The sequence below is a fragment of the Homo sapiens genome, chromosome 2 (genome assembly GCF_000001405.40).
Source record: "Homo sapiens chromosome 2, GRCh38.p14 Primary Assembly".
NCBI classification, from domain to species: Eukaryota; Metazoa; Chordata; class Mammalia; order Primates; family Hominidae; genus Homo; species Homo sapiens.
In genome coordinates, this window is record NC_000002.12 from 109,318,936 (window position 1) to 109,339,529 (window position 20,594).

The 20,594-nt window shown below is 45.7% G+C and overlaps 2 protein-coding genes across 4 annotated transcripts in view; both read left to right on the forward strand.

Annotated features, from left to right (window-relative positions):
- RANBP2 (RAN binding protein 2) overlaps positions 1–20,594 on the forward strand; it is a 1,122,820-nt gene that overhangs the window by 599,454 nt on the left and 502,772 nt on the right. The gene's annotated exons all lie outside the window — the stretch shown is intronic.
- Positions 1–20,594, forward strand: part of SH3RF3 (SH3 domain containing ring finger 3) — a 375,430-nt gene that overhangs the window by 189,731 nt on the left and 165,105 nt on the right. Inside the window, exon 1 of one of the 3 annotated variants that reach the window (XM_047444144.1) lies at positions 9,597–10,465. The exons of the other annotated variants lie outside the window; for them this stretch is intronic. The gene's annotated coding sequence lies outside the window, so the exon portion shown is untranslated. Of the gene's footprint in view, positions 1–9,596; positions 10,466–20,594 lie in introns of those variants that run through there. 3 annotated transcript variants of the gene reach the window in all.

Genomic DNA, 20,594 nt, shown 5'->3' on the forward strand with positions numbered 1-20,594 from the left:
TACTTCATAACTTCCCTGAGAACATTTGTATTTCAAGTGTCTGTCCCAGAACAGATCAAAGCCCTCTGCTAACTGGGATTACAGATGGGAAAGGAGTGGCTCTCCATCGATCCTGGTGTTTGTATCCTGCCTGGAACAGCTCACTTTAGGGACAGCAGCTGCTTGTAGGTGTCTGCAGAAGAGGCACTCCCATCTCTGCCTAGATGGGGGCATGGCTTAGTAACTCTCCAGTACCCTGTTCTTGGCTGTCGCCCTGTATATGCCAGATAGTGACAGTGGCATCGTTTTGCAGGACCAAGTGTTAAGCTTGCTGCATTTTTTGGAGTTGAGAAAGAGTTGGTTCCTGGCATCGTGATATGAACTCTACATTTATTTCCCCTCTTCCTAAGCCAGTGCAGGTTAGTTGACTGCAAAGAGACAATGTCCTGAGCTGTGTCTGCCTGTGGGCTCAGTGGGGTCCCGGGGATCACCCAGGCATCCTTTTCAGCCTGCTGGGCTGAAAGCTTGGATTTACAAGTGATTCGTTTTCTTACTCTTGCACTTCTGCTGGGGTAGTGACGGTGGTCAAGAGAAACACATGTTAGTACAGATGTGTATTCTGAGTGAGAGGGGGCTCACAGGGCTGAAAACAAGCCCAGTGGGGCTCGTTCCAGAACAGAAAGCCCCACACTCCCCCATCTTCTCTTATCATCCCTGTTGTTTTTAAACATTCCCCTTATCATCTCCTCCTCTCTTTTTAAAGTGTGCGATCTTGAAGAGTGCCGTGCCGGAGCCAAATGGTGTGGGCAGGTGCAGCCTGCCTGCCCCCAGCCTGTCCAGGCCGTGTGTGGCTGTTTCCCTTCACTGCCCAGTCCAATCTGGAGCTTTTTCCAGCCAAACAAAGGCACCTCTGTCCCCTTAGAGGAAAGAGAGCCAGTAGGAGTATCAGCCCATTTGCCCTGCATTTGGGACCTAGAAATCCCCCGGTGGTTACATCTGGGGTCCCTCCTTGCAGGGGCAAGGTGAACGAGCTGCTGTGAGAAGTAAGAGAAGTCAGAGTGGGTGATGGAGAGTGGGGGGTGCTATTCTGGAGGTTCCCAGCTGGAGCTGTTTCCATTCTAGGTCTTCACGGAGCTACTTCCTCGAAGCTGGGGGTGGCCTCTTATGGTCCCTTCCTTAGGCCTGGAACCAAGTCCTACTAGTGCTCCTGTAAAGCCTGTAGAAGCAACACAACTCTTCTCTCACCCCAGTTCTCATGGCCGTCACAGCCCTCGGCTTGCCTCTGCTCGGCTCATTGACTCTAATTCCATTTTTGAGGGCTGCTTTCCGGGCAGAGGAGGGCGGTGGGAATGAGAGCAGAGGTTTCCTTCCTGTTCTCTGCACAGCAGCCAGTGGCCACCTGGACTAGAGAGGGAGGTACAGGCCCTCACCCTTTCCCAAGCCCACCTGAGCAGCAGGTACAACGTTTGATCTCACCACAGTGAGTGCAAAACCATCCTTCCTGCTGGAACCACCGCAGGCGCCCATCCTCGGCAGTGAGCCACAACTTCCTCCTCACGTCTTCTTAACCAAGGCCAGTTATACCCTTTCATGCTCAAAGGGAGGCTGTCCTACCTGCTGGATACATGTTTGTTATCTGGGAGAAGTTTAGGCCTCTCCCCACCTAATCAGAATGTCTAAACCCTCTGCTTACTAGGTCACCAAAATCAGTGCTGGATTCCAGCTCTATAACACCCAATATGCACAACTGTTGTTCTTGTAAAATTACTGGCATTCCTCTTCTGTAAAGATATCAGCCCCGCAGATGAACAGACAAGTAAACAACGTCAGGCAGATGAACTTTCTGCTGGGAGAAAATAAAACTCGAGGCACATTGCTTTGCTTGCTGTACATGGACAGGCAGAGTGGTCAGATGGAATGGCCATGGATTCGGGCACCAGACCAAGATTCAAATCCCTGCCCTACGATACTCATCACCTGGGTTAACCTTCTGAACCACAAACACTTCATCTGTAAAGTGATGGTAATATTGCCATCTTGCAGGGTTTTAGGATATGGATTAGATTGTATGTAAGGCATCTACATACCTACATAGATTGTTCCATGGGAGCTCAAAAATGGCTGCTCTTACTGATAACTTATAGACATGTAAGTAATGATTACTACTGATAATGATTAGTGATAAGTAGTATTCATGGAAGAAAGACTCACGGACACACAAGACGCCATGTGCATGGATGCACCTCTCAAACGCTTCTTTGCAGCTCTTCACATTCTTTGAGGTATGCAGTCAGTAATAGAACTCAAACCTTATATCCTCGGATTCACTTTTAATTAGGCTGTTCTCATTAAAACGCCATTCCTTTATTGTCTTGCCACTTAATTTAGTAAATTGGTAGAGCAAATGTGGCATGCAGATTGCCTCTTCCATACCAGAACGTCATCATTCATTGCCAAAGCCTATGTGGATTAGGAGCATTTGAAGTGGAAATTAGTTGAGTTCAGGGCATACAGTTGTTGAATTTTGATTATCAGCTTATAGTATTTTTAAAATTAGATTATGCTTTGTTTCCATTTAACAAAGGAAGATAAATGTTGTGGTTGATGTTTTTATTAAAATAGAAATTTAACAAACATTCTCCAATAACTGGATGGATTACAGGAGATGAGACAATCAATAGAGGATTACATTTTGCAAAGCCAATTTAGGAACCTTGTCTAGATAAAACCCTCTTGTGGCAGAAGGGATCTGGCAAAAATGAATAAATTTGTAATAAGTGTCAACCCTGGCCCCCTGCCGTGCAACTCAAGTATAGACAGATTTTTGGAGGGAAGATCTACTTCCAACTACTGTTATTCTGCTAGAGAGATGTGTTCGCGAGGGATTGGTCACATTTTGACATCAGAGGCTGGCCATGACAATCCCAAGGTTCTGCCAAATTCCAGTGGATTCCCACTGCTTACTTCAAGTCCCAGTGTGGTCAGGACTTCAGGACTTCTCTGAAGGGGAGATGGGGCCCTTTTCTGGAGGATCAGAGCTCTGAAGATGATTGGTCCTCGTTATTCAGTATGAAAGCAAATACCACATTTCAAGAAGTGGATGGCTCTTTTTAAAATAAGTCACCTTGGCAACTGGAAGGCACAGCAAGGAGCGAGAAAGGGTAAGGGAGAGAAGCGGGGAGAGGGAAAGAATGAGGAAAGGGAAAAAGAAGGGTAAGGAGTAAGGGGGAGGAAGAGAGAGACAAGACACGGATACACAGGAGACTCAGCGCCCCTTCAAGCATTCTGGAATCCCCCGAATAATCACCACTCCTTCTCCCTTCTTGCTGGAACTTTGTGTATTTTGCATTTCCTGTTGAAGTCATAAATCCAGATCCTGCTCTGTAAACCCATGGAGTCTGAGGGCAGCCAGGGCCGGCAGAGGCAGAACATTTCAACATGTGCCGAAATGTTCCCACAGGCAGACTAGGCAGTTGGGGTGGCAGGAATCCAGGAGCCTGAACTAGGAGGCGGGTGAGTTGTCTTTGCCTGAGAGTTGAGCTTAAATCAGCCAATAAAATTGTCCATCTTAAGGAAGCTGAAATTTCTAAATAAGCCTATAAATAATTTCACAAATAGGGCCTGTGCTGTGTAATAGTGTGCACTGATTTTGAGAGTTACTGCAAGAATAAATTTGCTGAATGAATAAATCTGCAGTAGTCGCCAGTCAAATGTCAAAGGCTGGTCTCCAGCAGAAATAACCTTTTAAAAAGGACTCATTAGCTGAGCACACAGGGCACCCACATAAGTGATTTCTAATTCATTAAGAGGTAGATGATCAGCTCATATTTTGCTTTTCCAGCAAATAAGGATTCAAATAAGAACCCTTCTCCAACTCAGAAATCAGGCTTCTGGTGCCTGCAAATCTCCCCACATCAGGATATGGGCAGACAGCTTTATTGCTATCAATTAAAGTTCCATGCACAAACCTTGTAATGTTAAGATGAGGCCAAGAGGTGGCTTTTCCCTGGCTAGATTGGAATTTAGTGAGAGTGGGCAGGCAATATAAAGAGGCCAAATCTGACTGTGGGCAAGGCTGCTGAGCTGTGTTGCAGAGGGATTTTCTTATACCCCTAGGTGGTCTCGTTGAAATGTTTTATCAGAGACAGGAGGGAGCTTGCAGACTTTGTGGGGCTTCTGCTTTTGCCACTGTGCCCGGGCTCCCAGCATATGCTCCAGAGAGAGGCCTCGGCTTCCAGAGACAATGCAATGGGTGGGAAGGGGAGGTGTGTATTTCTAGAGTGGGAAGGAGGGCCGGGGGCCATCAGGACCCTCTGGCTCATCAGGTCTTGGGCTGGGAGTCATTGGGTGTATAGCAGGCACTGACTGGCACAGGGGCAAGTGTCTATGAAGCAGGTGACACAGAGGAAGACAAACTGAAGAAGATACCTGTATGACTCCAGCTATAGGATCCACATATTCACCACAATGGGCATTTGTGTAAATGAAGAATCACAAACACACATATGCACATACTATCCCAAAGAATATTCAGTGAGATTTAGAAAAACAACCAACCCAAGTGCATTCTCTGTTAGTGATTGGTAGCATGCTGTCCCTCTCCAGGAAGAATATTGTAGGTAGTGGTAGATGGGGCATAAGTCTGAGCCCCCAGCGAAGCTTGAACTCAGCTGAATGTGCATCTGCACTGGGGCTGGAGACTCCTGATGTGCATGGGGTTTTGGTGAGGTTGAGCTGTGTGTCCGCCAAGCTCCCTGAGCCTGTGCCTCGAGGAGATAAGGTGAAGGTGGCCTGCTCTTCCACCCTCCTGTAAGAGTGGGCATGAGGATGCTTCTCTAAGCTGTCAACATGTTTTATAGATGTTAATTATTTTTGTTATTTTAGGTCTCCAAATATTTCAGAGTGCTAATCTTTTAGCTTTTCTTATGTTTTTATCTTTTTAAAAGTAATTTGTAGTATAGTGACAGAGCTGTGCAACCACCATCACTGTCTAATTTCAGAAACTTTCCATCACTGTAAAAAGAAATGCCATACCTATCAGTAGTCACTCTCTGTTCCCCTTCCCCCAGCCCCTGGAAAACACTAATGTAATTTCTGTCCCTGTGGATCTTTCTTTCTGGACATTTCTATGAATGGAAGCAGATAATATGTGGCCTTTTGTGTCTTACTTCTTTCACTTAGCATAATATTTTCAAGGTTCGTCTTGGTTGTAGCATGTTTCACTACTTCATGTTTTTATGGCTGAATAATAATCCATTGTGTGGCTAGACCACATTTTGCTTATACCATTAATCAGTGGATGGACATCTGGGATGTTCTCACTTTTTCACCATCACAGGTAGTGCCCTGTGACTATTGATGTACAAGTTTTTTGTGGACAGGTTTCCACTGCTCTAGGAGTAGGGGTACTGGGTCGCATGGTAACTCTCTTTAACCTTCTGAGGGGCTGCCAGGCAGTTGTTCCAAGTGGCTGCACCATTTTCCATTCCCACCGGCAATGTATGACATTCCAGTTTCTCCACATCTTTGTCAACATTCATTATTGCCAGTCTTTGTGATTTTAGCCATCCTAGTGGATGTGAAGTAGTTTTGATTAATCTTTTAGATTTTAAAATAATAATGAAAGTTACAACTGTCATCTTAATAGAAGGAAAACCAGGTTGATGATCTGTTGACTAATATTTGCAAAGTGCTAATAAGCCCTTTGAAGACAGTATTTGAAGAAGGCGAAGTTGATCCTTTCTCCTGGAACTCCTTTCTCCTGGATCCCAAAGCTGTGGATCCCTGCTGGTAGTAAAGTAGATGAAATTAGAATTGCTGCATAAGCGCCAAATGACTTGAAGGAGAGCATGAATGTCCAGACGGGGATAGAGACCAACTATGAATCTGCCTGTAACTCCAAGGACAGTACTCTCCGTCCCTCTCCTTGAGGTGTGTGCAAGCACGCACGCTGGCACACTGTCTCCTGGAAGGAACGGTGGAGCTGTCGCTTCCCCAAACCCTCTCCTCTTGCCATTCCTATACAGTAATGACTAGTATAGACAAATACAATCACACAGTTTTGGCAAGGAAAAGTTTGTTCTGGGAGAGGCCTTTGGCTTGCGTAAGAGATGTTTTTAAAATGTGTGTGGTTTTTGTGTCTTGTTTTTCCTAGAGGCTAGAAGGGAGGATGCCATGGCTCTGACAAGGCCCAAGAGGTCAGGGAGGGGTCCCTTGGCCACATTTCCTCTGCAGTGCTCGGAAACAACTCACTGGTCTTTAATTTTCTGTGAAGATCAGTGTCTCACTTCATCCCTCCAGCTGGCATGGCTGGAGTCAAAGTGAGTCGGTTTACACAGAGTAAGCCAAGAAATCGTAGAATCCCAGGAGTCATTGGATTTCAGGGACTGCCATTTAATTTCTTTCTTTCTTTCTTTCTTTTTTTTTTTTTTTTTTTTTTTTTTTGGAGACCAGGTCTTGCTCTGTCACTCAGGCTGGAGTACAGTGGTGTGATCATGGCTCACTGTAATCTCAAACCCTGGGCTCTAGCAGTCCTCCCACTTCAGCCTCCTGAGTAGATGGGACTACAGGCATGTGCCACCATGTACAGCATATCATTTCCTTTCTTGGTTCCCCGCTTCCCCCAGTGACACAGCCCCTTTACAACATCCCTTAATATGGCTGCTCTGAGTCTGCTTTAATCCAAAACAGTTACAGAACTCACTCACCACTTCCCAAAGCAGCCTGTTCCATTCTCAGCACTGATCGCTAGAAGGTTCTTTTCTATATGCCCACTCATCTCCTGGTTTCCAAGCCAGGCATCACTACATGTTCCTTGGAATGTCCTGCAGACTCTACCAGCCTGGAGTAGTGTGTAGGGGTTCAGGTGCCTGCTGCACCCTCCTTATTACTGCAGGGCAAAGATGCTGGCCCGAGCAGGGACCACACCTCCCTTTGTTCCAAATCACTCCTGGGAAAAAGTTCAGAGAGGGTTGAAAGTATGCATAGTGTTTCCATTAGAAATGAATAGTCTTTCTGCTTTATTTTTAATGATATTTTCACTGTGAACCGTAACGTATATGTCATGTTTAAAGAAGAACAACAACAAACATTAGTATATCTACCATCAGCCTAAGAAATGTGGAGACCTAGAGGCCCTCCAGGGGTATCCTGGGCGTATGCCACATTTTCTCCACCATGGTAAAACATTTAAGGACACACACGTATGTGGGTCTACATTGTTTATTTGATTTTATCTATCTGTTCTTGGTGCTGAATATTACAGATTTAGCCTCAGAAGGTGTTTTTCTGTAACTTGCTTCTTCCACCCAACAAGGAATCAGCTGTGTTGATGTACATAGATGTCGCTCATTTGTTTTTTTATGTAGTGTACAGTTTTTCATGGATCTGAGTATATCATAGACTATCTACTTCACAGTTAATGGGTATTTCAGTTGTTGTTGTTCTTTTTTTTTAATGTTCATGTAGAAGTACATCCTTACCCTGGAGAATACTATGTTCTTTGGAACAGGATGGCTTGGCGATCAGGCAGCACTTTGCACTCCTACCAGCAGTGGTGAGAGACGTTTCCTTCTGCGCCCTTGCCGACACTTGCTGTTGCCAGACTTTTAAATTTTTGCCAATCTGGTGGGTGTGAAATGGCATCTCATTGTGGTTTAATTTGCAGTTCTTGGATTACCAATGCTGTTGAGTCACTTTTCAGGTCTTTGGGGACCATTTGTGTTCATAGCCTTTTCTACAATGCCTGTTTAAGTTAACTTATCTTTTTCTTGAAAGATCTATCTGTTCTTGAAGATAGATGGGTAGTTCTTACCTGGTGTTTACTGCCACTGTTCTAAGTGGTTCTGGATACAGTAACTGTTTCAGTCCTTCCCAATAAAGTAGGTTTTCTTAGGGGGACGCCTGTCTCATGGGAGAGTATCCGTAGGTGCGCACAGCCACTGGCCCAGTGTTCCCCAGCAGGTGAGGGGAGAGCAGGGGCTCACACCTGAGCACGCTGGCTCTACCATTCGGTTCCAGTTCAACTGCTGGGTTATTGACATATTTTGGATGCTAATACCTTGTTTCTGCAATGTGTTGTTAATATCTTCTGTTTATGGATTGTCTTTTTCCTTCGTATTTAATGTCTTTTGATAAATGGAAGGTTTTTAAAAACATTTAAATGTTGTTCCACTGAACATTTATGGTCAGTGTTTTGTGTCTTATTTAAAAATCATTTCCTACCCTGGAGCTTTTTATTAACTTTTAAAAGTTTTATAGTTTTGCTTTTCACATTTAAGATGTTAATTCAGCTAGAAATAATATTGTATATAGGATGAGGTGGAGGACAATTTCTTTTTCCATCTAGATAACCTAACTTGCCAACACCATTGATTAAACAGCCCAGCCTTTCCCTGCCGCTGGTAAATCACATCATCTGCACATGTTTGTGTCTGGACCCTCCCTTCAGTTCCATCGGTCTATTTGTCTATTGTTGATTAAACTATTCTTTTGTAATTACTGTAACTTATTTAAAGCTTTGATATTTTAGCAGGGCAAGGACTTTCACTCTTCCACATACATTTTAAATCAATTTGTCAAGTACTTTGTCAAGTACTTGAAAATCCCGTCGAGATTTAAATTGGAAATGCATTTGAACTATACATCAAGTTGGGAGAAAATTACAGCTTTTCTGAGTCCTCTTACTCAAGAACATCATATTTCTTGCAATTTATTTAGGCCATCTTTAATATCTTTTAGTAAAATTGCATAATATCCTCCATAAAGGAAATGTACATGTTTGGTTAAATTTCTACCTAGTACCACTTAAAATAGCAACAAAAATATAAAGTATTTTTAATTATATATTTTAGCTACTTGTGCATGGTAGATAGAAAAGCAGTTGACTTTTACATATACATACCACTTCCCAGTGTTCCTGTTTTCATGTTTGCCCTTTGCATAAATTTTCTTTTGTGTCAGTTTAGCAATTCATTTCTTTTTCTTGTTATTATGGATACCTTCAAACATACACAATCATGGAGGGTCTAGGACAATGACCCTGTGTCAGGCGATATCCAGCATCAGCAGCTGTCAACATGGTGCCAAGCTTATTCCATATGTCCCTCCACTTTTTTTGTTTTTTGGGGAATCCTTTAAAGAAAATCCCAGGCATCATATTATTTTATCCTTCAATATTTCAGTATGTATTACCAACAGATGAAGTCTTAAAACAAAAAACAGCCAAACCATTGTCACACTGTCAGAATTAACAGTAGTTGCCTGATATTAGTCCATGTGTGGATTTCCCTCATAGTCTCTAAAATGTCTTTTTATGCTTGTTTTGTTCAAACCTGGATTCAAATAAGGTCCACTCATGGCATAGGATTCCATCTCTCTTACTTCTTTCTATTTCTGGAAGTTCCTACTCTTTTCCACCTATTTCCTTCATGCCATTAATCTGTTGAAGAACATAGTCCCTTTCCCTGGAGAGCTGCCCCACCCTTGACTATGTGGGCTGCATCCTCATGGTGCTGTCTCCCCTGCTCCTCCATTCCCTGTATTTCCTGTAAACTGGTAGTTACATCTGAGGACTTGGCTAGATTCATTTGTTTACACATGTTTGTTTTTCTAAGAACACTTTCTAGGTGGGGCTGTGAGCCTCTGATTTCGACAGTGCATTCAGAATCATCTTTGTACTTTCTAATCTAGCGTTCCAGGTTATCCAGGATGCCTAGGTCATGGTACTGATATAGGAAGGGAATTCCAGAAACAGCGTGGGATGATGCCATTCACCATTGTATGCTCCTGGTCATCACTGTGTCCTGTGATCTGTCAGTATGGTCTTCCTCTCCCCCACATTTGTGTGTGTGAACCACAGTGGTTCATGACCACTTTGGTGGCAGGAACATGAAAATATTTCACCTGAACACAGTGTTATCCAGAGGTGGAATGTCTGAGTGTCAAATATATCCCTGGACTCCCAGTTGCCTTCTCCATGCTCTGAGCAGGGCTGAGAGCTGAGGCTTCCCTGGGGTTGTTAACGGGGTGGTCATGACAAGCTTGGCCACGTCCTTCCTCCCACGTCCTGGTGGCTGCTCTGTGGTCTTCTTGAGGAATTGGCCATGTGTCCACAGAGGCAGTCATCTTAGTCCAGTGGCCTGGAATCCTCTCACATTTCTTCTGGGAATATTTATCTCTTCCTTTTCTTACTCTTTCATCTCCAAATGTTCCCCTCTCTCCTACATTGGTTTCTCTCGTGTGGTTTCTCTGCGCATTTGTTTGGTGTTCCCTCTGTGCTCAGCCTTCTCCTGGTTTTCCCAATTACCAGGTCCAGTCTCTGACCAGACCCCATGAAGCCTGGTTGATTGCTTCTAAATCTCTCCATCTGAGAAACATCCTGGAGATGTGGAAAAAAACACAACTCATGAGAGGAAAAGACTTTTGCATTGAGAGCAAATCCGCATGAGGAAAAAGTCAAGCCCCAAAGAATCAAGTGGACCTGCAGGTGGGGTTATTCACCAAGACTTTTTCAATGAGATGTAAATCAGTGGCTTCAAATGGTTCCAGAGGCCATGGCTGGAGCGGTGTCTTTCCCTCTGTGCTGGCTGGAGAACAACTGAACACATCCCCCCATTCTCCCTTCCCTGCACTGGGGTGCAGCCTTCCTGCAGCAAGTTTCAGAGGTGGAAGGCTGATGATAAGTCTGGAGCTGACAGGCCTCCCTCAAGGGAGGACACTTTAGCAGAGAGATTTGCACATTTCTAGAGGCTGCAAGAGGGCAGTGCTCAGCTTGATTTAGAGCCAAGAAGTAAGAAAGCAGGAGGAAGGTGAAATGAATTGCAGGAGTGTGACACAAAGGAGGCTGGAGATGCCTTTTCTTACATAGGCCCAGCCTCACTTTCAGCCCACCTTCAACCCAGCTTCAGCCAGTTTTGTAAGGTTTGGAACTGCACAAGAGAGAAATAAAAGTTATATGAATGTGAATGGTTTCCAAAAGTCTCTCTGCAGAACCTCTTAACTTTAGGTGCAGATAAACTGCAACTTTCTTCAATGGGTTCTTGGACCCCTAGTCATGGTGACAGTTTGACTAGCATTGAGAGAATGTTGACCAGAAAAAGTCAACATCCCTGGCCCTTACAAAACATTGAATTTCATCTAAGTGGAGTAAATGGTTTAAAAGTTTAAAACATGTAATGAAATATATGTAGCACGGGCATGCATTTCCTTTGCTCCCACTCTGGGGCAGCTGTGAGATACTTAGAGGGAACATGCTGGAAGGAATGTCTTCTGCCCAGTGTCTGTCCCACTGGAATGTGTGGTAAGTCTCCCCAACTCTGTGGGTTGCAGAAAGAAGAATGTTGCCTTTTCCTCAATTTTGGTGTGCATTTCAGATGTTATTGCGAAACTAAAGAAAAGGGGCAAAATTCTTCTCTTGTGCCTATCTCTCTCCGTCTCTTCCTTCTTTTTTTTTTCTTGTCTTGGCATATCTCAGAATTATCCAAGACTTTCATCCTGTTGATTATTCCTTAGTCATGTATATTCGATACATTATGACTCTAAATAAACATTCCATCTTCCTTACGAACTTTGTAAGAATGGGGGGCAGGGGGTGTCCCCCCTTGTATTGTTAGATGTCTAGTACCTCACACAGGCCTGGCACAGACAAGATAGTCACTGTTTGCATGGGTGGATGGATGGATGCATGGTGGGTCAATGGGTGTGTGGTGGATGGATGGAGGGAGAGACGGAAGGGAGGGATGATAGATTGAGGAGTGATGGATGGATGGATGAATGATGGATGGATACATGACGGATGGATGAATAAACAAATAAATGGAGAGATGGGTGGATAAAGATAATTCAAATACATACACAGATACACAACTGGACACCATCATTCCCCACACACTCCTAAAGAGGTGTGTGTCTTCTCCCCCTGGGTTTCATCAATAAGCAGGATCCCTCTTAAGGGACCAATTCCTCTGGTAAGGGTCTGCAAGTCACTCATCTGTGTCTGGCACCTTGCACAGTGTGTGCAGTGGAAGTCCCCAGCAAGTGTGTGTTGAATAAAGGTTGTGCCATGCATTAGTTCATGGTCTAAGTCCATATAAAAAGCCAGGTGTTTGGAGTTACTGTAGTATCTGTTGACTTTCACCCAAAATCTAAAAAAGACTCCTCAGCTTTTCCTTCCAGCATAGCAGAAGCTCTTCCAAGATGGCCAGGAGATAAACTCAAAAGCGGTTTCATTCTTCCCCATCCTTTACTTTTGGATCTGTTCCCTGGAGCATGGGGAATGCCGGGTGTCTTATTTCTTGAAGCTGAAATTTCCTGATATTGTGTACAGACCCCCACCCGCCTGTCCCGCAGGGCTGGGTGCCAGAGCAAGATTCAGGAATTGGCCATCAAATGAGTTCCTCATTTGCAATCAATTAACAGCCACCTGGCCTGTTTTCCTGCCTCCCTCCTCTCCCCTTCTCTCTCTCCCCTTGTTTTGCATCATGAACTGATTGGAGTGTGAGAACTGGGGCCTTAACCAGGTTTGCAACTTCTCCCTGCCAGGAGCACTTTCTCCCAAAACCTCAGGGCTCCCGCGTCTACTCCTTCAGGCCCTTTCTCACCCTCCTGAATTTAAAATTGCAACCCCCACCGCCTTCCAATCCCCTTCTGGATATATTTTCTCTGGAGTACTTACGGTCTTCACTATACTACGTACTTTTAATAGTTTATTTTGTGTATGTCTCTGTCCCCTTATAAAGTGTATGCTCCCTTAAGGTAGAGATGTTTTTATCTATTTTGTTTCTATTTTCTTTATCTATTTTGTTAGTTCCTAGAACCATGTCTGGCACATATTAGGTGGCCAATAAGTACTTGGTGACTGATTGAATGAATATAATATTAAGATGATTTTTTAAAAGTCTCGTGTTCAGATCTTTGCCAGGGGCACCCTGTCATGCCCCTGGGGTCTCCCCTGAGGAGAGACCTCTCACCAGAGGAGCTGCAGTCCACTGCCTCTCTGGAGGGGTTTGCCTGCACCCTCAGCACCTGGCCGATCCTCCGATGGGTCTTCCTGGTGCTGTGACTGTCTGTGACTAGTCGTGGATGCCGGCTGAGCCTGGGAGCAGCGGTTACCGGAAATCTGTGGCTTTCTGCTTTAGCTAAAGAGAGAAGACTGCATGTGTTTGCCAGTCTTTTGGGTGCTTCTGTTTAGCATAGACATTGGCCAAGGCTGCTGGTAAAGAGCACCAGAGAGGCGCTTTACCCATGAGAGGGAAGCATCTGCGGCCCGGAGCCCTCTGCAAGCTGCCTCATGGGACCCCTAACAGACCTTCTTGCCTCTCTGAGTTCAGGGTAGAAACAACCTGCTGATCCGTCTGTTTCCCTCTGGCACGCCAACTCTCTCCTGAGAGAGCTCCTCCTCCTGATTCTGTGTTCTGAGAGTTGCGCCCAGGGGTGCTGCACTTGCTCCTTCCTTCTCAGCCTGTAGCTCAGCTCTGACACTCCCGCGACTCCCCCAGCACCCCGAGCAGGGTGCAGGTCTTCCTGGACGGGCTTGGGGCTGAGTGCAGCAGAAGCAGCACAAGGCTCCTTTGCTGCCTCTGCCCCTAAGGAGTCCCAGGATGTGTGAGGAACAGAGCTTTCTCCTGTCCCGAGCTCCCCGCAGTTCAGCCCTCTCTGGACTAGACAGTTCTGCATTTCTTAGCTCACTGTGCTGTGCTAAGGAAGCCAGGGCTGCCCCGTGGGTGGAACATCCTCTAATTTGCCAGGCAGGAAAGGATGGGGCGATGAGTCACCCTTCTGAGTGATTCCTGCCGAGCTTCCTACAGAACATATCCAGGAGCAGCCACCCCGCCCCCAGGGTTAGTGTGTGGAGGCACAGGTGCTAGTGTGGGTGGTGAGAAATAGGACTCGGAATCACCCTTTTTAACGTGCACAGTATGTTAATTGTGTCCTCACAAAAGTGTTGAAGTGTTTCTTGCCTTATAGAATAAATGGTCAGAAACCAGTGGATTCCTTTGAGCTGTTTTGATGGGAGGAAATTAACTGTGACAGTGAGACCTTGGTGGTCCCAACATCAGCAGGATGCAGAAGACAGCCTAGCCTGCTGGGTCATGTATTCGTCTTCGGCAGCCTGGGATTGGGAATGCGCGTGAGTGCAGAGCTGCTCACTGCCTGGTGCCCTGCAGCTCCAGTGCTGCCTCAGTGCGTTCCAGGAGAGACCTCAGTTTCCAGCCCTAGCTCAAGTCCCAGGGTTGATCTTGCTCGCGGCAGCACCAGGCCTGCACCTCGGAAAGGCATGATGGACTTACCTGTATCTATCAGGTTCAGGCATTCTCCTGCCTGTAGTTGAGAATTCAAGTTCAGGGTGATTAGTTTCGCCTTTTAAAAGAGCCCTAGCATATCCTTGCTGGATATATTCATTGCTGAAATGCACAAGAAACTGAATGTGATCAATGTAATGTATTGGTTTCAGCATCAGATGTTAAGAAAGTGAATCTGTTGAGATTCTTGCTTTTAAAAACACAAAATAAAACAAGCCTAACCTTAGTCAGTCATCCTGGACTTGAGATCACATTTCACAGTCTACAAAGTGAGGTTTCACGTATAGCATACCCCACCTGTTTGTGTAAGTAAAGTTTTATTGGAACACAATCTCACCCACTAATTTACATGGAATCTCTGGAGCTCTGGCTGCTACAATGGCAGAGTTGAATAGTTACAGCTAACACTGATGGCCTGCAAAGCCACCTTGCTCCACTAGAGACAAAGTTTGCTGACCGCTGGCATAGAAGATAAGAGCACAAATTCTGAAACCAAACTGCTAGAGTTTAAATCCCAGCTCTGCCACGTATTGGCAGCATGACCTTGAACATGTTAATTAACCTCTGTGTGACTTAGTTTCCTCCACTGTAAAATGGAGATAATATGGAGATAATAATATCTCCATTATAATATTAATAATTATAATTATGATGATATAATAATGATATCACCAAAATAATACTTGTCTCCTAAGGTTGCTATGAAGTTCAGAAGAATTAATAATGAGGACATGCTCAGAGTACTTTCTGACAAGTGGTAATGTGTTAAATTTTTAAGGAAGTGGGCAGGTTTCTAAGACTTTAGGAAAGTCCAGTCGCTTCCTCAAATCACAGACAGTTGTGCATTTGAAGATCACCTCAAAACCAGGTTCAGAGGCTCACGCCTATAATCCCAGCGCTTTGGGAGGCCAAAGTGGGAGGACTGTTTGAGCCCACAAGTTCAGCCTGGGCTGTAACATGGTGAGACCCCGTCCCTACAAAAAAATAGAAAAAATTAGCCAGGTGTGGTGGCATGCACCTGTAGTCTCAGCTACTCGAGGGGCTGAGGTGGGAGGATTGCTTGAGCCCAGGAAGTCAAGGCTTCAGTGAGCCATGATCACACCACTCGACTTCAGATTGGGTGACAGTTTTTTTTTTTTCCTTTAAAAAAAAAAAAAAAAAAATCTTAAAAAAAAATAAAGACCACCTCATCATCAGGGTACCTCCCATAGGAAACACAGCCTTGTGGGTGTCTTGGCTTCCTGTTGGTCCAGAACCCTGCGGACTTTCCTCGCAATAAGGGCACAGACTGGCTTGGCTAAAGGAAGGGTGCTAGTGGTGCCAGCCAGCAGGGGAACCCTCACCCGCTCCGGGGATGCCAGGGATGGAGTGAGGCAGCCACAGTGTCCACTGCGCTGATTCCAGCAGGGGATGGCAGCATGGTGACAGGAAGTCACACTTAATAATGCAGACAAGAGGGAAAGGAGACCCACAGACACAGGGAGAAAAAGCTGCAATATGCCTCTTCAACTCATGAGAACAGGAGGCGATGGGCCACAGAGGCTGCTGAAGGAGTTTGTTCCTGCCTCTGTTTTTCTCTCTCCTTCTCCAACTAGAATGTTATGTGCCACTTGCTCCCCTCAGTAGCACTTCCAGGACAGGTGGACTACATATTTGTGGAACCCAGTGTTTTTATTGAGAAGCCTTCTTTTTGCTTTTTAGGCTGGCCTTCCTGGAAAGGTTCTGCTTTTAACTCTTTGCGTGCCTTCCCAGGCCATGCGTCCTGGTGCGAGGCTCTGAGAACGCGATTTATGTCACCGCGTTGGCGACTTACATGTGCTCCCTGATCATTGAAGACACGGTTTTGTCTCTGCCTGGGATCATGGTGGTCATACCACTCCCTGCTTCAAAACCGAACATTTCGTGTTTTCGGAGCAGATTCGTCAGGACGTTTTGCAGCATCCTGGGGTGTTACCTGTTCCTTGCGCCTGATCTAGAGTTCCGAGGCCTACGCACCTCAGAGGAGCAGCTGTGGGGACTGTGGGGCAAGGCCCCTCGCCCGTCCCACACGAGAACGGCTCTTTCTAGCATGTTTTCTCAGGTGTCTCTTTATCCTCTCCCTATGCCTCAAGTTTCCACATTGAAAACTCTCAATGGCGTTTATTTCCTTCTGAGTCTCTGCTGGGCTGTTCCAGCCCTTCCACAGCCCCTACCCTGGGAAGCCCGTACCTCTTCCACACGCCACCTCCTCTCTGCCCCTCAGGGCTGGGACATGCTCGTCGACTAGCCCTCGCTCATCCACGTGTCCCTCAGTTACCTTCTCGATGATGACGTTCTAAGATTTCACCCTATCCCCATCCCAGTGTTCATGTCCCCTCCCCTGGTTTATGTGTCCCCTTAGCACTTAACCACTTTCTGACATTCTCTAGATTTTACTTATTTGTATGTTTTGTTGCTGTCCCCCTGGCTGGAACATAAACTCCACCCGGGTGGGGACCTCTGAGTGTTTTGTTCACTCCCAAACCCCACGCCAGAACCGCACCCCACAAGTAACGGGCACTCATTCCGATTTGCTGACTAACTGCATAAATGTCCTAAAACCACTTCCTACCTTACGCGGCTGTAGAGAGGATAAGAATGAAAGTTAAATAAAGCCTATGAAAATGCTTAGAAAACTTGAAAGCATAAAGTGAATGTGAAAGATGTATTTATGAATGAAGCAGCTCAACAAAAAAAGACACTTGGGGGCTGGGAGTGGGATATGTCGGTGAGACTGATAGCACGATGTTGTCGAGACATTCGGGCTGATTTAAGTGACTGGCAACATCTGGAACCCATCAGGAAAAGCTTTAGCGTAGAAGGCATTCCTCTCCCTACATTTTGAAAATTCAGGCAGGCCTAGTAAGCTCTTTAATATTTTAGGAAGTTCAAAAATATTTAATATCTTAAAGAAAGTCAAAAATACTTACTACTCTGGGAAGTTCAAAAATCACCACGTGCCTAGAAGCTGGCCTGCAGGAGAAGGATTCTCCCTCACTGGGGAAGAGGTGTCATGCTGGGAAGGCTGTCTTGTTCTCTAGACTAGGTAAAATGACAACCAAAGACCCATTTTTACTTTAAAATGAGTTTACAAAGCCACATTAAAGTGTGAAGGCTTCAAGAAGGAATTTCTCACAGATAGAACAGAAAATAACTGGATTGACTCACTAGCATGCAAAATACATTTGGAAGGGAAGCTGCCACCAATAAGTTTCTCCCTTGGGTACAAAGAAATGTCCTGGTGTGCCCACGGCTAGCACGTGCTGAGGACTCGCTGTGAGGCCCCGTGTACCCCGCAGGCTGCTCTTGAAGGAACCAGTTTCCAAGGGAGGAGGATGATGCCAGCCCTGGGCAGTGTTTCCACCACGTTGAGGCAAATGCTCTTTGCAGCAAACCAGGAGAGCATTTGTTTGTTTCTCTGCAGTGAGACTATTTGCATTAATAACTTACTTATGAAGTTTACCTTAAGTCTGTAAAAGCAACTGCAACATCCAATTTTGTGGAGATTTCCATTACAAAGTTGGCAAAGCGTTTTGTAACTAAATATCTGGAGTTAAGGATTTATATAAATCAACATGGAAATGGGGTGCCGAGGGACCCTCTCCTGCTCCAACCGTATCCGTCAACACCTGGTGCAGTGAAGAATTCTGCTCAGTTCCTCCTGTCCCAGAGCAAAGGGCAGTCTGCATCCCTGACAGCCAGACCATCATCCTCTGTGGGCAGCAAATTGCAGAATTAGTGTAAAGCAGACAAATGCAATATCTATGTGAAATAAGCCCAAATCATTAGGTATGCTTTGATTCAGGCTTAACATTTTTTAACATAATAGCAAACCGTATTTAGTATCCTAAATGTAAATTCAGGACTTGTAGTTTTCACATTTTTGTGTTATGTATCTTAAATGCCTTTCTAGAGAGGGAGGTACGAACTGGCTCATAGGGTGATTTTTTCCTGAGATTGGCCACATGATTTAAAGATTTGTAAAAGCCTTTGGACCTATCTGTATTGAGAGGTAAGAGCTTGGGCTCCCTTGGTCCTGGGACCCTCTCCTCTCCCCACAGCAGGGCTGCCGGGAGCCCTGGGTGCAGGGTGCATCGGGCTGCTGGCCCCATTGTGGCCCTGCTCCCATCTGTCCTGTAACTTCTCTGCATCCAAGGCTAGGTCCTCCTGTGTGTGGTGTCCTTAGCGCCTTGCACTGTGGCCACCCCCTCGCATATGGCGAAATGTTTTCCTCAAATGGTGATAAGGGACTGTGCAGGCAAGGGCGGGAGTCCTGGAGGCACCCCCGGTCACAGGATCACCCTCAGCGTTTCCACCCTGCCCAAGAGGTCTGTGGAGCTTCCCCGAGCCTTTAGCACATTTGCTAGGAAGTCCATCCTCCATTGGTGGAATAACCTTCCTTTTTAGAACCTTCTTGAATGGCTGTGCCATATGCTATCAGCATATGCCGTATGCTACCAGGTGGGTTATCTTGGTGGTCAAGTTTGTTTTGCTAAGGTCCCCCTTTTTTTTTGAGACAGGGTTTCACTCTGTCACCCAAACTGGACTGCAGTGGCATAATCATAGCTCAGTGCAGCCTCAACCTGCTGGGCTCAAGTGATCCTCCCACCTCAGCCTCCCGAGTAGCTGGGACTGCAGGCATGCACCACCACGCCTGGCTAATTTTTGTATTTTTTTTTTGTAGAGATGGGATTTTGCCACGTTACCCCGGCTGGTCTGGAACTCCTGAGTTCAAGTGATCTGCCTGCTGCGGCCTCCCAAAGTGTTGGGATTACAGGCGTGAGCCACCGCGCCCAGGCTCCTTCTGTTTTTGATGGAGCTTGCCAGTCTGTGTGTCATGTGATGTGGAGAACTTTAGTAAACACGCTGTGTGCTGCTGTCTGGTAGCTTCCCGAGTCGGAAGTTATTTGCTACCAACAGGAGACCATCCTTTGGTACTTACAGTGTGCCAGGCACTGTTAGGAGTAACTCATCTGTATTAACTCATTCGATCTCACATTTAGGATCCCTGTGAGACAGATACTTAGCACGCTTGTTTTGCAGGTACGGAAACTGAGGCATGGAGCAGGCAGGGTGTGGCAGAATTGAGCTCTTCTGCAAGAAGCTTCATGGCCACCCTCAAAACTCCTTGAGCGCTGGGGACCCAGTTCTAACACAGGCCTCCTTCCTTTTGTCATTTGAGCCAGATTCTTAGGGAAACTTTTTTTTTTTTTACATGCTCACAGATACTTTATTTTTTCTTACCTTTTTGTATTACACTTGACCCTTGAACAATGCAGGAGTTAGGGCAACAACCCCCGGCACAGTCAAAAACCTGTGTGTAACTTTTTATTTTTATTTTTTGAGACAGAACCTCACTCTGTTGCCCAGACTGGAATGCAGTGGTACGATCTTGGCTCACTGCAACCTCTGCCTCCCGAGTTCAGGCAGTTCTCCTGCCTCAGCCTCACAAGTAGCTGTGACTACAGGCATGCGCCACCACGCCCGACTAATTTGTGTATTTTTAGTAGAGATGGAGTTTCACCATGTTGGCCAGGCTGGTCTCGAACTCTTGACCTCAGGTGATCCACCCGCCTCGGCCTCCCAAAGTGTGTGAGCCATTGCGCCAAGTCTTGCATGTAACTTTTGACTCCCTCAAACTCAACTCCTAAGAGCTTACTGTTGACCAGAAGCCTTACTGATAACACAAACAGTTGATCAACACATATCTTGGGAGAACTATACATTATATACTGTGTTCTTAGAATAAAGCGAGCTAGAGAAAAGAAATTGTTATTTAAAAAATTGTAAGGAAGAGAAAATGTATTTACTACTCATTAAGTGGAAGTGGATCATCATAAAGGTCTACATCTTCATCATCTTCACGTTGTGTGGGCTGAACAGGAGGAGGGGTTGGCTTTGCTGTCTCAGGCAGAGAAGAGGTAGAGGAGGTGGACGGGTAGGCAGAGAAGGGAGGCACACTCGGTATAACTTTTATTGAAAAAAATCCACGTATAAGTAGACCCTTGCAGTTTAAACCCATGTTGGTTCAAGGGTCAGCTGTTTTTTGGGGGGGTGGGGGGTAACATGAAAGTAATGACATGAAAAATGTATATATAGTAAGATGATGTGGTGGTTGGTTTGGGTTGAAATAAGGACCTACAAGGAATCCTCTGCCTTTAGTCCCCTCCTTCTCTTCCCTCCTGTCCTCTTGGTCTTCTGCGGTGGCTGGAGATCCAGGTCCCCAGTGCAAGGCCCCATTGACCTGAGGCCACCCACAAAGGAGGCCCACGTGAGTGTGCTGCCCAAAAGGCCGGT